Raw genomic sequence first — 15814 nt, 5'->3', positions numbered from 1 at the left:
AGCAGTCCTCCCACCTTGGCCTCCCAAAGTGCTGGGATTGCAGGTGTGAGCCACCGCGTCCAGCCTGCAACCTTGCTTTTCTCTGCGCGGCAGCGCTTGGTAGCCCTTGCTCAGTCTCCTCTAATTTAGCATCACCTGAGGCGTGTGCCACCATGGCCTGCTAAGTTTTTGTATTTTTTTGTAGAGACGGGGTCTCATGTTGTTTCCCAGGCTAGTCTTGAACTCCTGAACTTAAGTGATCTGCCTGCCTCAGCCTTCCAAAGTGCTGGGATTACCTGCGTGAGCCACCGCGCCCAGCTTAAAACACAATGATAACATTTCTAATGGCTCAAAGAAAAATGAAATACTTAGGACTAAATCTAACAAAACGTGCAAGACTTGCATGCTGAAAACTACAAAACTGTAATGAAAGAAATCAGACCTACATAAATGGAAACAAACCGTGTACTTGGATTGGAATATTCAACATAGTAAAGGTGGCATTTCTTCGCAGATCAATCTGTAGGTTTAATGCAATTTCTATCAAAATCTCAGCAAGGGTGGTTGTTTGTTTTTTAAGATGCAGACATGCCTAGGCTGGGCACCGTGGCTCGAGCCTGTAATGCCAACACTTTGGTTTGTTGTTGTTGTTCTTGTTTGTTTGTTTGAGATGGACTCTCGCTCTGTCGCCCAGGCTGTAGGGCAATGGCGCGATCTCAGCTCACTGCAACCTCCGCCACCCGGGTTCAAGTGAGTCTCCTGCCTCAGCCCGAGTAGCTGGGACTACAGGCACGCACCACTACGCCCAGCTAATTTTTGTTTGTTTGTTGTTTTTTTGTTTTTTTTTTGAGACGGAGTCTGGCTCTGTCACCAGGCCGGAGTGCAGTGGCGTGATCTCAGCTCACTGCAACCTCCGCCTCCTGGGTTCAAGTGATTCTTGTGCCTCAGCCTCCCAAGTAGCTGGGATTACAGGCACACGCCACCACGCCCAGCTAATTTTTGTATTTTTAGTAGAGGCGGGTTTTCACCATGTTGGCCAGGATGGTCTTGATCTCCTGACCTCAGGTGATCCGCCCACCTTGGCCTCCCAAAGTGCTGGGATTACAGGCGTGAGCCACCGCACCCAGCCAATTTTTTGTGTTTTTAGTAGAGAGAGGGTTTCACCATGTTGGTCAGGCTGCTCTCGAACTCCTAACCTCAAGTGATCCACCTGCCTCGGCCTCCCAAAGTGCTGGGATTACAGGTGTGAGCCACCATGCCTGGCTCTGTTTTTGTGGTTTTTTTTTTTTTTTTTCCTGAGACAGATTCTCGCTCTGTCACCCAGGCTGGAGTGCAGTGGCGGCGATCTTGGCTCACTGCAACCTCTGCCTTCTGGGTTCAAGAGATTCTCGTGCCTCAGCCTCCCAAATGGTTGGGACTACAAGTGTGGGCCACTACGCCCAGCTTTTTATACTTTTAGTAGAGACAGGGTTTCTCTATGTTGTCCAGGCTGGGCATGAACTCCTGGCCTCAAGTGATCCACCCGCCTTGGCCTCCCAAAGTGCTGGGATTATGGGTGTGAGCCACCACGCCTGGCCTAACGCCAACACTTTGGGAGGCAGAGGTGGGAGAATCACTTAAGGCCAGCCTGGCTGGTCTCAAACAAGACACTGTCTCTACAAGAAAAAAAAGATACAGACATGCTTGTGCTTATTCTAAAATGTATATGAAAAGGCAAAGGAATGAGAGTAGCTAAAACAATTTTGAAAAACAAGAATAGGTTGGGCGTGGTGGCTCACGCCTGTAATCCCAGCACTTTGGGAGGCCGAGGCAGGCAGATCACCTGAGGTCAGGAGTTCCAGACCAGCCTGGCCAACATGGTGAAACCACATCTCTACTAAAAATACAAACATTAGCCAGGCATGGTAGCGGATGCCTGTAATCCCAGCTACTCAGAAGGCTGAGGCTGGAGAATTGCTTGAACCCAGGAGGTGGAGGTTGCAGTGAGCCGAGATCGCGCCATTGCACTCCAGCCTGGGCAACAAAAGCAAAACTCTGTCTCAAAAAAAGAAACAAGAATAGGCTGAGCATGGTGGCTTTTGCCTGTAATCTTTGGGAGGCCAAGGGAGACCGATTGCTTGAGCTCAGGAGTTTGAGATCAGCCTGGGCAACATATGTGGCAAAATCCCATCTCTACAAACAAAACAAAAATTAGCCGGGCGTGGTGGCACATGTCTGTACTCCCAGCTACTTGGAAGGCTGAGGCAGGAGAATCACTTGAGCCCAGGTGGTGGAGGTTGCAGTGAGCCAAGATCATGCCACTGCACTCCAGCCTTGGTGACAGAGGCAGACCCTGTCTCAAAAAAAAAAAAAAAAAAAGAAGAAGAAGAAGAAGAAAAGAAGAGGAGGAGGGGAGGAGGGGGGAGGGGGAGGGGAGGAGGAGGAGGGGGAGGAGGAGGAAGAAGAAGGAGGAGGAGGAGGAGAAAAAAGTGGGAAGATCAACTGTACCTGATTTTAAGACTTACTGTCATCGCTGTATTAGTCAAGACAATGTGGTATTTGCAGAGGATAGAGAAATACATCAATGGAACAGAATTAAGAACCCAGGAATACACCCACACAAGTATAGCCAACTGATTTTTAAACATTCAATGAAGGATATTCTTTTCAACAAATGAACCCCACAACTTACACAAAAATTAACTTAAAATGGGTCATAGATGTAAAGGCAAAACATAAAGCTAGAAGACTTCCAGAAGAAAACAGGTGAAAATCTAGGACTAGGTGAAAAGGTCTTAGACATGACACCAAAAACAATCCATCAAGGAAAAATCTACAACTGGACTTTATCAAGATTAAAACTTTTAATTTGCAAGCCACATATCTGACAAATAACTCACATCTCAGATATGTAAAAAACTCTCAATTTCAACCTGAGAAAGCTGAAAAAAGAAACTCTCAAAAACCCAAAAGATCAACATACATTTTACTAAAGAGATATTTCATGTACTCACAAAAATATGTTCCACACCTTTAGCCATTAGAGAAATGTAAATTAAGCCACAATGAGGTATTTTTTTACACACCTATTAAAAGGAACTAAAATAAAAAATAGTGACTATTGGCCGGGCATGGTGACTCACGCCTGTAATCCCAGCACTTCGGGAGGCCGAGGCAGGGGCATCATTTGAGTCAGGGGTCCAAGACCAGCCTGGCCAACATGATGAAACCCTGTCTCTACTAAAAATACAAAAATGAAGGCCGGGCGTGGTGGCACATGCCTGTAATCCCAGCTACTCAGGAGGCTGAGGCAGGAGAATCACTTGTACCCAGGAGATGGAGATTGCAGTGAGCCAAGATTACGCCACTGCACTCCAGCCTGGGGTACAGAGCAAGACTCCGTTTCAAAAAAAATAGGGGATGGGAAGAGGGTGGCATGACTTTTAAAGAGGCAGCACGAGGAAGATCTTTGCACTGATGGAACAGATCTGTATCTTGATCATAGTGTGGGCTACACACATCCACACGTGATGAAATTTACAGAACTACATGCACACACACCACACACACACACACAAATGGGTGCATGTAAAACTAGTAAAATCTGTAAATTGTAGCAATGCCAATTTTCTGGTTTTAAACAAGATGCTGCCATTTGAGGGAAACTAAGGGCACACAGGTCTCTTCTGTAATGTTTTCGCCATGTCCTATGAATCTTAAATTATTTCAAAATTTTAAAAAGGTCATTTGTGCCAAACCATTCATTCAGCAGAACTGGCCAAGTGCTTCTGCCCAAGCCGGGCACTGTCCTGGGTATCAGGACTACCCCAGTGGACAAGATGGAGCTGCTGTCTCCAGGAAACTGGCCCTCCCAAAGGACGGCGGGACAATATGGAAGTCAGCAATTATTTCAGAGCATAACAAGGGCCGTGAAGGAAAAGTAACAAGCCACAGAGGGTCTGTGGACCCTGACACAGGAGTGGCCTTTCAGAGGAAGCAACCTTGAGATGAGTGAGGCCTGAGTGGTGGGAAGGAGCCAGTCAGGAGACGAGCATTCCACACAGGACACAGAATGAGCAAGGCAGAGGAAGGGCGGTGCTTGAGCGGGAGCTGGGAGCCGGTGAGGTGGCAGAGGGGCCAGGTCCCAGGGCCTCACAAACCCTAGCATTTCATTTGCATCTCGGCATCCAGAGTTGAGGTGTTTATTATATTCTGTTTCTATTTGGAGAAAACGAGGCTTAGAACAGCCTGGGTCTAGGCCCAGCTAGAAAATGGGAGTATCAGGTAGTTCTGTAGTCCCCATTCCTGCATTCCCCAAGTCAGAGAACCCACTTTTGGAAAGCCTGCTTGGAGGTCCCCTGGCTTGGTTGGCCTCTGCACCTCGGAGGCCCCCTCTTCAGCCTATCCCTCCTGCCTCCTGCAAGCTCCAGGTGTGCCCTCCCTTCCCGCCACCACCATCGTCACTGCCACTGCCCTGCCTCAATAGGAAGCCGAAGGCCTCTGGCCCAGGAGGTATCTTTGGGGGGCCGTCAGCAACAGAATACGTTTTTCCTTTATTGAATGAGGAGACTGAAGTCAGACTGAATCCAGCCCTGAATTTAAATCTCCTTTGCCACTTCAGAGGAAGGTGCAGGCTCTCAAAGCGGTGAGTTTGCAAGCTGGGCTCTCCCTCCTCTCCCGTCTTCTCCAGCCTCCCCGCGGGAGGGATGGAGGTGATGGAAGAAGCAGTATCCTAATCTAGTCACACTTTGTCAGTTCCCACCTCTCTCCTCCCTTCCAGCCATGCTCCAACCCTTGTGGTGCCCCAGTGCCCGTTCCAGCATGCAGGGCGTGTGCTCCCTCTGCCCAGGGCCACTCACACTCTTTGTCCTGCCATGCTGCCACCTCACCCCTGCGGGACCCTTCTGCTTTCTTTCTCTTTCTTTTTCCTTCTTTCCTTTTTAGAGGCAGGGTCTCGCTCTGTCACCCAGGCTGGCGTGCAGTGGCGCAATCATAGCTCACTGCAGCCTTGACCTCCCAGGCTCAAGCCATCCTCCCGCCTCAGTCTCCCAAAGTGCTGGGCTTACAGGTGTGCGCCACCGTGCCTGGGCTCTTCTGTTTTCTTGACAGTAAAACTGTTATTACCTTCCTTCTAGTTCCCATTGAAGAAACAGAGGCTCAGAGAAGGAAGATGACTTCCCCAAGGTCACAGAACCAACAAACAGCAGAGCTGGGATTGAGACCCAGGTCATCTGCCCCTGCACCCTTTTGCCCTTTTATCACCTGCTTTGCCTCAAATGCCTTAACGTGTCTCGTCCTCCTGGCAAGCATGCTCCTTTCCCAGAGCCCAGCGCAAATGTCCTCTCCTCAAGCGAATTGCCCTGACCCCTCCCTCAATCCCGAGCAGCCGTGCTTCCACCCTGGGCTCCAGTGCACACCTGCAGGTGGCTCTTCCCTGTGCATCTCACCTGTCAGGATGGATCCCGCTGACTGCCTGCACTCACTAGACCAAAGGCCATCATGTTTGCCATGTTCCCAGACCTAGCAAGAGGGAATGGACACGACGGGCATCAGAGAGTATCTCCTGAATAGGTGACTGAGTAAGCGAGCAAGTGAGTGCCCCGCTGGGAGAGAAAGTCTGTGTGGAGCTGACTCCACCCCTGGGCCCAGGTGCCCTTATACAGGCCCTGCCCTCTCTTTCCAGTGCCCCAGCATAGTGAAATGACCTGTTACCTTTCCCGTTTCCGATTATTCTTTTTTGCATAATGATGACTCCTTACACCCCTCCTCACTGCAGATCAGACAAGCTGATTCACATCCATGGGCCTCTGCTGCTGTTTCTACCTGAGATGAAGGCTCTGGAGAGAGGGCACCCTGGAGAGACCCTCATATTGAAGACTCGTGGCTGATCAGTGCCCAGCATGCTGGCAGGCCTGCCCAGGGGCAAGTGCCAAAGTCCAGCTTGGCTAGATGTTAGCCACATCTGCTGAGCATGGATTTATTTTAGCATATCTATAAACATTTTCTGTGATTTTTTTTTTTTTTTTTGAGACACAGTATCACTCTGTCACCCAGGCTCGAGTGCAGTGGCGCAATCTTGGCTCACTGCAACCTCCACCTCCTGGGTTCAAACAATTCTCCTGCCTCAGCCTCCCGAGTACCTAGGATTACAGGCGCCTGCACCACAGCCTGCTAATTTTTATATTTTTAGTAGAGACGGAGTTTCACCATGTTGGCCAGGCTAGTCTTGCACTTCTGACCTCACGTGATCCACCTGCCTCGGCCTCCCAAAGTGCTGGGATTACAGGCATGAGCAACCGAGTCCAGCCCACATTTTCTGTTATTTTAACCAAAGTATATCCATGAAAAAAGCTGGAAGCTGGCTGGGCACGGTGGCTCACTCCTGTGATCCCAGCACTTTGGGAGGCCGAGGCAGGTGAATCACCTGATGTCAGAAGTTCAAGGCGAGCCTGGCCAACATGGTGAAACCTCATCTCTACTAAAAATACAAAAATTAGCCAGGCGTGGTGCGGGCACCTGTAATCCTAGCTACTCGGGAGGCTGAGGCAGGAGAATCGCTTGAACTCGGGAGGCAGAGGTTGCAGGTGAGCCGAGATAGCACCGCTGCACTCCAGCCTGGGTGACAGAGTGAGACTCTGTCTCAAAAAATAAAAAAATAAAAAAAAGCTGGATGCAAATATGCCAAAATATTAATGTTAATCATTTTGGATGGTGGGAATAATGGCTATTTTTTCTTTATACTTTTCTGCAATTCTCTTTCTTTTCTCTTTTTTTTTTTTTTTGAGACAGAGTCTCACTCTGTCACCCAAGCTGGAGTGCAGTGGCACAATCTCGGCACACTGCAACCTCCGCCTTCTGGTTCAAGCGATTCTCCTGCCTCAGCCTCCTGAGTAGCTAGGATTACAGGCATGTGCCACCACACCCATCTAATTTTTTGTATTTTTAGTAGTGACAGCGTTTCATCATGTTGGTCAGGCTGGTCTCAAACTTCTGAGCTCAAGTGATCCACCTGCCTCAGCCTTCGAAAATGCTGAGATTACAGGTGTGTACCACCGCGCCTAGCCCTCTTTTTTCTTTTCAGAGACAGGGTCTTGCTCTGTTGACCAGGCTGGAGTGCAGTGGTGCTCACTGCAGCTTCAAACTCTCAAGCTCAGGCAATCCTCCTGGCCAGGTGCGGTGGCTCATGCCTGTAATCTCAGCACTTTGGGAGGCCAAAGCAGGCGGATTACTTGAGGTCAGGAGTTCAAGACCAGCCTGGCCAACATGGTGAAACTCTGTCTCTACTAAAAATACAAAAATTAGCTGGGTATGGTGGCAGGCGCCTGTAGTCCCAGCTACTCGGGAGGCTGAGGCAGGAGAATGACTTGAACCTGGGAGGCAGAGGTTGCAGTGAGTGGAGATCACACCACTACACTCCAGCCTGGGTGACAGAGTGAGACTCCATCTCAGAAAAAAGAAAAAAAAAATCAGTTCTCCTCTTCAGCCCTCCAAGTAGCTGGTAGTATAGGAACAAGCCACCATACCTGGCTGATTTTTTTATTATTATTATTATTATTTTTGAGGTGGAGTTACACTCTTGTTGCCCAGGCTGGAGTGCAATGGCGTGATCTTGACTCACCGCAACCTCCGCCTCCTGGGTTCAAGCGATTCTACTTCCTGACTCAGCCTCCCGAGTAGCTGGAATTACAGGCATGCACCACCACGCCAGGCTAACTTTGTATTTTTAGTAGAGATGGGGTTTCTCTATGTTGATCAGGCTGGTCTCGATCTCCCGACCTCAGGTGATCTGCCTGCCTCAGCCTCCCAAAGTGCTGGGATTACAGGCATGAGCCACCATGCCTGGCCTTACTTGGCTAATTAAAAAAAAAAAAAATCTGTAGAGATGGGGTATCACCACGTTGCCCAGGCTTGTCTCGAACGCCTGGGCTCAAGTGATCCTCCCACCTCAGCCTACCAAAGCACTAGGATTACAGGTGTGAGCCACCACATCTGGCTTGTCTACAACTTTTTAATAAAGCTCTGCCCTTGTCTTTTTTTTTTTGAGATGGAGTGTCACTCTGTCGCCCAGGCTGGAGTGCAGTGGCACAATCTTGGCTCACTGCAACCTCCGCCTCCCAGGTTCAAGCGATTCTCTGCCTCAGCCTCCCGAATAGCTGGGATTACAGGCGCCCACCACCATACCTGGCTAATTTTTGTATTTTTAGTAGAGACTGGGTTTCACCATCTTGGCCAGGCTGGTCTTGAACTCTTGACCTCGTGATCCACTCACCTCGGCCTCCCAAAGTGCTGGGATTACAGGCATAAGCCACTGCGCCCGGCCAGTTATTTCTTTATAGGAATGAAAACAGACTTACACAGCTCCCTTCTAATCCCCATGGTGACAGAATTACCTATAACCCATGTCTGATAAAGCCCTTCAATGGCCCTTGGGGCAAAGTGTGATTTCCTTAACCTAGTTCACACAATCTGACCTCAAACTTGTGGGAACAGAGACAAGGGGACTTACTCTGTGTCAGGTACCAGCTGGGGAACTTTTACATTCAAGAAAGTTTCGTAAGAAGCCAATGAAGATGGTAATTAGGAGGTCACAGGTGACCATAAGAGATGGTCAGTGAAGGTGAAAGTTCAATTACAGGAGGCTAAGGAGGAAGTGGAGGCTGGTTGTGTAAACGATCCTGGCAGCAACTTGTGGGTAAACTGGGATTGAGGTTTTGTAAGGGAGGGGACTCCAAACAGTTTGAGAGAGAAGATAAAGAGATCCAAGTGGTTTAGAAGGGGATGATTGCTGGTGAAGGTTCTGAACATGGTGACAGGTGGGAGGCTGAGCACACACTCGTACACCGCTGGCAGGAAGAGAAATGACTTTTCTGGACTACAATTTGGAGATAACACAAACATTAAAAAGAAGAAAAAATTGTATCCCTTTTTGACTAAGCAATTCTAGGATTGTTATTTTTTTCTCCTGAGGAAACTAGCATGGATGTTCACATTCAGGTGTGGGGATGTTTATCAATTTGCTATTTTAGAAAAGAGAAAAAAAGTTTAGCATGTCACAAGATAATTTTCATCAATATATGGTACATCCATTTAGTGAAATGCTGTACAGCCATTTAAAAAGATACAGAAGAGGCCAGGCATGGTGGCTCACGCCTGTAATCCCAGCACTTTGGGAGGCCAAGGCGGACGGATCACCTGAGGTCAGGAGTTTGAAACCAGCCTGACCAACATGGTGAAACCCCGTCTCTACTAAAAATACAAAAATTAGCTGGGCGTGGTGGCGGGCGCCTGTAATCTCAGCTACTTGGGAGGCTGAGGCAGGAGAATCGCTTGAACCCGGGAGGCGGAGGTTGCAGTGAGCCAAGATCGCGCCACTGCACTCCAGCCTGGGCGACAGAGCGAGACTCGAAATAAATAAATAAATAAATAAATAAATAAATAAGATACAGAAGAATGTGTGAACTTGAAATAATGCAGTATTTATATTATATCCCATTTCTGTCTCATTCTGTCGCCCAGGCTAGAGTGTAATCTTGGCTCATTGCAACCTCTGGCTGCTGGGCTAAAGTGATCCTCCCACCTCACCCTCTTGAGTAGCTGGGATCACAGGCCTGTGCTACCATGCCCCACTAATTTTTGTATTTTTTAGTAGAGACTGGGTTTTGCCATGTTGGCCACACTGGTCTCAAACTCCTGGCCTCAAGTGATCCACCCACCTTAGCCTCCCAAAGTATTGGGATTACAGGCATGAGCCAGTGTGTCCTGCTTGAAAAGTTTTTATATGCAATGAAAAGTCTAGGAACATAAACATCAGAATATTAACAGTGGAGACCGGGCACGGTGGCTCACGCCTGTAATCCCAGCGCTTTGGGAGGCCGAGGCCGGTGGATCACTTGAGATCAGGAGTTCAAGACCAGCCTGACCAACATAGTGAAACCCTGTCTCTACTAAAAATACAAAAAAATTAGTTAGGTGTGGTGGTGGGCGCCTGTAATCCCAGCTACTCGGGAGGCTGAGGCAGGAGAATCACTTGAACCCAGGAGGCAGAGGTCACAGTGAGCCAAGGTCGCGCCACTACACTCCAGCCTGGGTAACAGAGTGAGGCTTTGTCTTAAAAAAAAAAAAAAAAGCATTTTAACAATGGACATTCCTGGCCAGTGTGGCATTATGAATTTTTCCTTGTCTTTTTCGTTTCTTTGCATTTTCTAAGTTTTCCTACATGAAAAGGAATTAAACTCAACCAGGAAAACAATTGATAAACCACAACCCCAACCCCTGCAACACACATACACACACACACACACATACACACACACACACACACACACACACACACACTTTAGTAAGAACAGGTAACCTGGGCAACAGTGAGATCCTATCTCTACAATTTTAAAAATTAGCTGGGCATGGTGGTGCCTAGCTACGTAGGAGGCTGAGGCAGGAGCATGACTTGAGCCTGGGAGTTCGAGGCTGCAGTGAGCCACGATAATGCCACTGCACTCCAGCCTGGGTGAAAGAGTGAGACCCTGTCTCAAAAAAAAAAGAAAAAGCAGGCCGGGCACGGTGGCTCACAACTGTAATCCCAGCACTTTGGGAGGCTAAGGTGGGTGGATCACGAGGTCAGGAGATCAAGACCATCCTGGCTAACATGGTGAAACCCCGTCTCTACTAAAAATACAAAAAATTAGCCAGGCGTGGTGGCAGGCGCCTGTAGTCCCAGCTACTTGGGGGGCTGAGGCAGGAGAATGGCGTGAACCCGGGAGGCGCAGCTTGCAGTGAGCCTAGATCACGCCACTGCACTCCAGCCTGGGTGACAGAGCAAGACTCTGTCTCAAAAAAAAATAAAATAAATAAAATAAAAATAAAAAGGAGGAACAGGCAAAACTATGGTGAACAGAAGTTAGAAGAATGATCTCTGAAGGCACTATTGACTGAGCAGGCTCCCAAAGGAACTTGCCTGGGGCGATGGAGGTATTCTGCATCTTGATTTTGGTGTATACATAGTTAAAAAATTATCAAACTGTGGATTTAAAATTTGGGCATTTTACTGTTTGTAAAGTATGTTTCATTAAAAAGATATATCCACAAGACAAAAGGGAAAGAGGAAGTAACTAACATCACTAAACAATTTTTTTTTTCTTTTGAGACAAGGTCTTGCTCTGTTGCCCAGGCTGGAGTGCAATGGTGCAGTCATGACCCATTGCAACCTCCACCTCCCAGGCTCAAGCCATCCTCCCACCTCAGCCTCCTGAGTAGCTGGTACCACAGGCACACGCCACCATGGTCAGCTAATTTTTCCATTTTTTATGGAGACAGGGTTTTGCCATGTTGGCCAGGCTGGTCAAACTCCTGAGCTCAAGCAGTCTTCCCACCTTGGCTTCCCAAAGTGCTGGGATTACAGACGTGAGCCACCGCACACAGCCCACAAAACAATTTTGAGGTGAAAAAGGAAGATAAAGTTCTGTGACGTCAATTTTTCTCAGGAGGCGGGCTCTCACAGTAATGAGCTTAGAGTGAGGATGCAGGCGGGCTTGGATTTGAGAAAGGCGGACATGCCGGAGCCGTTCCTATGCGGCAGCGGTACAGGAAGTGTCCTAGAGCTGGATTCAAGGAATGGCCACCCACATTCAGGGCTCCCAAGTTTGCTGTGATGTATGCTGGGGTTCTCCAGCCTGAGGAGTAGGGGGAGAGAAATCAAACAGTTGAGTTTACTTGAGGAATTGTGGCAGTCAGTACTGGCTCATGAGGGAGACGGGAAGGAAGGCAAGGAGTTTCTAGTCGGAAGAACTGAGGCAACTGCAGAGGGACAGAATGGCTGTGCGGACGGAGCAGGGACAGTGGGGGCTGGAGAGAGAAAGAAAGGCTGTGTTCGGAGGGATTGGTGCTGAGGTCTCGAGGGCGAAGCAGTTCCAAGTGAGGCATGGCCCCGCTGGGAGAGGGCTGCGAGGAAAGCAAGCTAACACTGACTAAGCAGCCCAGTGCCCGATGCCAGGCACTCCAGTCATCAGCTCACTTAAACAGCATCCCAACTTTACAAGGATGTGCTACTGTAATATTTATGGGTGAGCAAACAGGTTCCGAGGTCAACAAATATCATTGTCAGCAAGCAGCGGAACAATTTCAAATCTAGATTTGACTCTGAAGTCTGCACCACACTTTAACACAACTTAAATCAGAAACAGTAGAGCCGGAATTTCAGGGAATCCATGTATGCAGATGTGGGAGTCATCTAGGTTGCCAGTGGAGGTAAAAATACCTGTTGTTTTGAGTAAGACTTTCAATAAACATAAAAATAAAAAAGGAAAAAAAATCAGTTGCCAACTTCTAGAGAATGGCTAGTAGCAAGCAGAACAGGACAAAGTAGTCCAAGCAGATGGCATGCTCTTCAGCACCGTCCTTCAAGACCACGCACCAAAGTGGCAGAAAAGAAATACAGATCCTGGCCGGGCATGGTGGCTCACGCCTGTAATCCCAGCACTTTGGGAGGCCGAGGCGGGTGGATCACGAGGTCAAGAGATTGAGACCATCCTGGCCAACATGATGAAACCCCATCTCTGCTAAAAATACAAAAATTAGCTGAGCGTGGTGGTACGCGCCTGTAGTCCCAGCTACTCGGGAGGCTGAGGCAGGAGAATCGCTTGAACCCGGGAGGCGGAGCTTGCAGTGAGGCGAGATCATGCCACTGCCCTCAGGCCTGGGCGACAAAGTGAGACTCCATCTCAAAAAAAAAAAGGAAAGAAATACAGATCCTGCCTCCTGGTGTCAAGATTCATGGGAAAATGAGTGGCCTTTGCTTAAGGGTTTTTTGAAATGGCATCTTCAAGGGAAAACCAGGTTTTAGTTAAAGGGGAAGAAACCTGGGAGTTTTGGGGCATCATTCTGTTAGTGAAGACAGACAGGCAGGGGAGGGCAGAAGGAAGACTGGGAGGGGCTCAGCAGTGCAGTGGCCGAGCTCACAGGCATGAGGGACCCTGGGGGCCCGAGGCTCCCTCAGGATAAAAGTGCACATGGAGCTCTGCCTGCCACGCCAGAGAGACGTGTGAAGAAAAAAATGCCAGGCACTCAGTCACGTCTAGGGTAAATCTTCAGTAGTAAGCTACAACTGTTTTGTAAGCAGCAACAGGAGGTATTCCAAACACCTACTACGTGCCAGGCGTTCTGCAACAGCAATTCATTTCAACTTCACAGCAATGCCACAATCAACCCTATTTTACAGATGAGATGTAGGTCTAGGGAGTTGAAGCCAGTCACTTGGCCACAGTCATGGCCAGAGCCAGGATTTAAACCCAAATGTTGGCCGGGCGCGGTGGCTCACACCTGTAATCCCAGCATTTTGGGAGGCCGAGGCAGGCAGATCACTTGAGGTCAGAGGTTCGAAACCAGCTTAGCCAACATGGTGAAACTCCATCTCTACTAAAAATACAAAAATTGGCTGGGCATGGTGGTACATGCCTGTAATCCCAGCTACTTGGGAGGATAAGGCAGGAGAATTGCTTGAACCCGGGAGGTGAAGGTTGCAGTAAGCCGAGATCGCACCACTGCACTCCAGCCTGGGCAGCAGAGCAAAGACTCCATCTCAAAAAAAAAAAAAAAAAAAAAAAAAAAAAAAAAAAAAAGTGTAATCTGGCCTTGGAGTTTTGAGTCCTCTGATTCTGTTCATTGATAGCAAAACTTTGTGGGTTTTTTTTGAGATAGAGTTTCACTCTTGTTGCTCAGGCTGGAGTGCAATGGCGCAATCTTGGCTCACTGCAACCTCTGCCTCCTGGGTTCAAGCGATTCTCCTGCCTCAGCCTCCCAAGTAGCTAGGATTACAGGCATGCACCACCATGCCTGGCTAAAACTTTTATACTCAAGTTTCTTTTCTTTTTTTGAGACAGAGTCTCACTCTGTCGCCCAGGCTGGAGTGCAGTGCGAGATCTCAGCTCACTGCAACCTCCGTCTCCTGGGTTCAAGCAATTGCCTCCTGAGTAGCTGGGACTACAGGCATGTGCCACCATGCCCGGGTAATTTTTTTATTTTTTAGTAGAGACGGGGTTTCACCATGTTGGCTAGGCTGGTCTCTAACTCCTGACCTCAGGTGATCTGCCCACCTCAGCCTCCCAAAGTGCTAGGATTACAGGCATTAACCACCATGCCCAGCTTATATTTAAGTTTCAAAATCAATTGTGAAATGTTTTTAGTGGCTTCTCAGCTTAAACTCTTGCACACTTTATTAAACTGAGCAATAGAGTTCTAGTTTACACTTAATGCACATTAAAAAAATCAGGGCCCCAAATCTTTGGCTAGTAACACGGGGACAACTCTGAAGGTACCAAGAATCTGTACCCACAAAACTGAGTATCTGCACAGGACAAAGGCAGAAAACTGAGGCTTATATTTCCTCTCAGAAATGAAAACATGAGGCCGGGTGCGGTGGCTCATGCCTGTAATCCCAGCACTTTGGGAGGCTGAGGCGGGCGGATCACGAGGTCAGCCTGGCCAACATGGTGAAACCCCATCTCTACTAAAAATACCAAAATTAGCTAGGCATGGTAGAATCGCTTGAAACTGGGAGGCAGAGGTTGCAGTGAGCTGAGACCACACCACTGCACTCCAGCCTGGGCAACAGAGCAAGACTGTATCAAAAAAAAAAAAAAAAAGGCTGGGCACTGTGGCTTACACCTGTAATCCCAGCACGTTGGGAGGCCGAGGCAGGAGGATCACGAGGTCAGGAGATCGAGACCATCCTGGCTAACACGGTGAAACCCCGTCTCTACTAAAAATACAAAAAATTAGCTGGGCGTGGTGGTGGGCGCCTGTAGTCCCAGCTACTCGGGAGGCTGACGCAGGAGAATGGCCTGAACCTGGGAGGCGGAGCTTGCAGTGAGCAGAGATCACACCACTGCACTCCAGTCTGGGCAACAGAGTGCGACTCTATCTCAAAAAAATTAAAATAAAATAAAAATTAAAATAAAAACATGAGGCCGGACGTGGTGGCTCACACCTGTAATCCCAGCACTTTGGGAGGCCGAGGCAGGCGGATCACGAGGTCAGGAGATCAAGACCATCCTGGCTAACACGGTGAAACCGCGCCTCTACCAAAAATACAAAAAATTAGCCGGGCGCGGTGGCGGTCGCCTGTGGTCCCAGCTATTCAGGAGGCTGAGGCAGGAGAATGGCGTGAACCTGGGAGGCAGAGCTTGCAGTGAGCTGAGATCCCGCCACTGCACTCCAGCCTGGGGCGACAGAGGGAGACTCTGTCTCAAAAAAATAAATAAAAATAAATTTAAAAAAAGAATAAAAACATGAGCAAAAATACCTAGGAGAATGCCAACCATCCAGAATCTGTAAATCAGAAGAGGCTTTTTCTAGACACTCCTTTGCAAGGACACAAGTTGGTTCCAACAAAAGTGACAAATTCCTTAAGAAAATGTTATTCCAAGAAAATATTCTTACAAAATACACTCCCATAGAAGGGGAACAAACACTTAATGACATCTACATATCAGGAGCCTCATATACATTTACTTGATTGAATCTATAAACCTATCCTGAGGTGGACGGCATTATCTTCATTTATAGCTGGGGAAATTCAAGTTCAGGGAAGCTAGAGAATTTGCCCGAGGTTGCAAACCTGACAAACTAGAGAGCCCAAATTTGAACCCAGGCCTGTCTGCTCTCTCTCTCCATCATACTAAGTTGCTATTTTTCCACAGGGATACAACAGAGAAGACCTAACTCCATCCTTCTCTTTGACTCTCCCTTCCTTCTTGGCAATGCCATGCCATGCTGTTCCCTCCCGGTGTTTTTCAACCTCTCCTTCACACATAGAAAATTATCTACCACATCGGTCCCACACAGAAAGATCCACAGCCTGTTA

Source organism: Homo sapiens, chromosome 5, assembly GCF_000001405.40.
Source record: "Homo sapiens chromosome 5, GRCh38.p14 Primary Assembly".
Taxonomy (NCBI): Eukaryota; Metazoa; Chordata; class Mammalia; order Primates; family Hominidae; genus Homo; species Homo sapiens.
The sequence above is the reverse complement of the archived record's forward strand: the minus strand, read 5'-3'. Positions refer to the sequence as shown.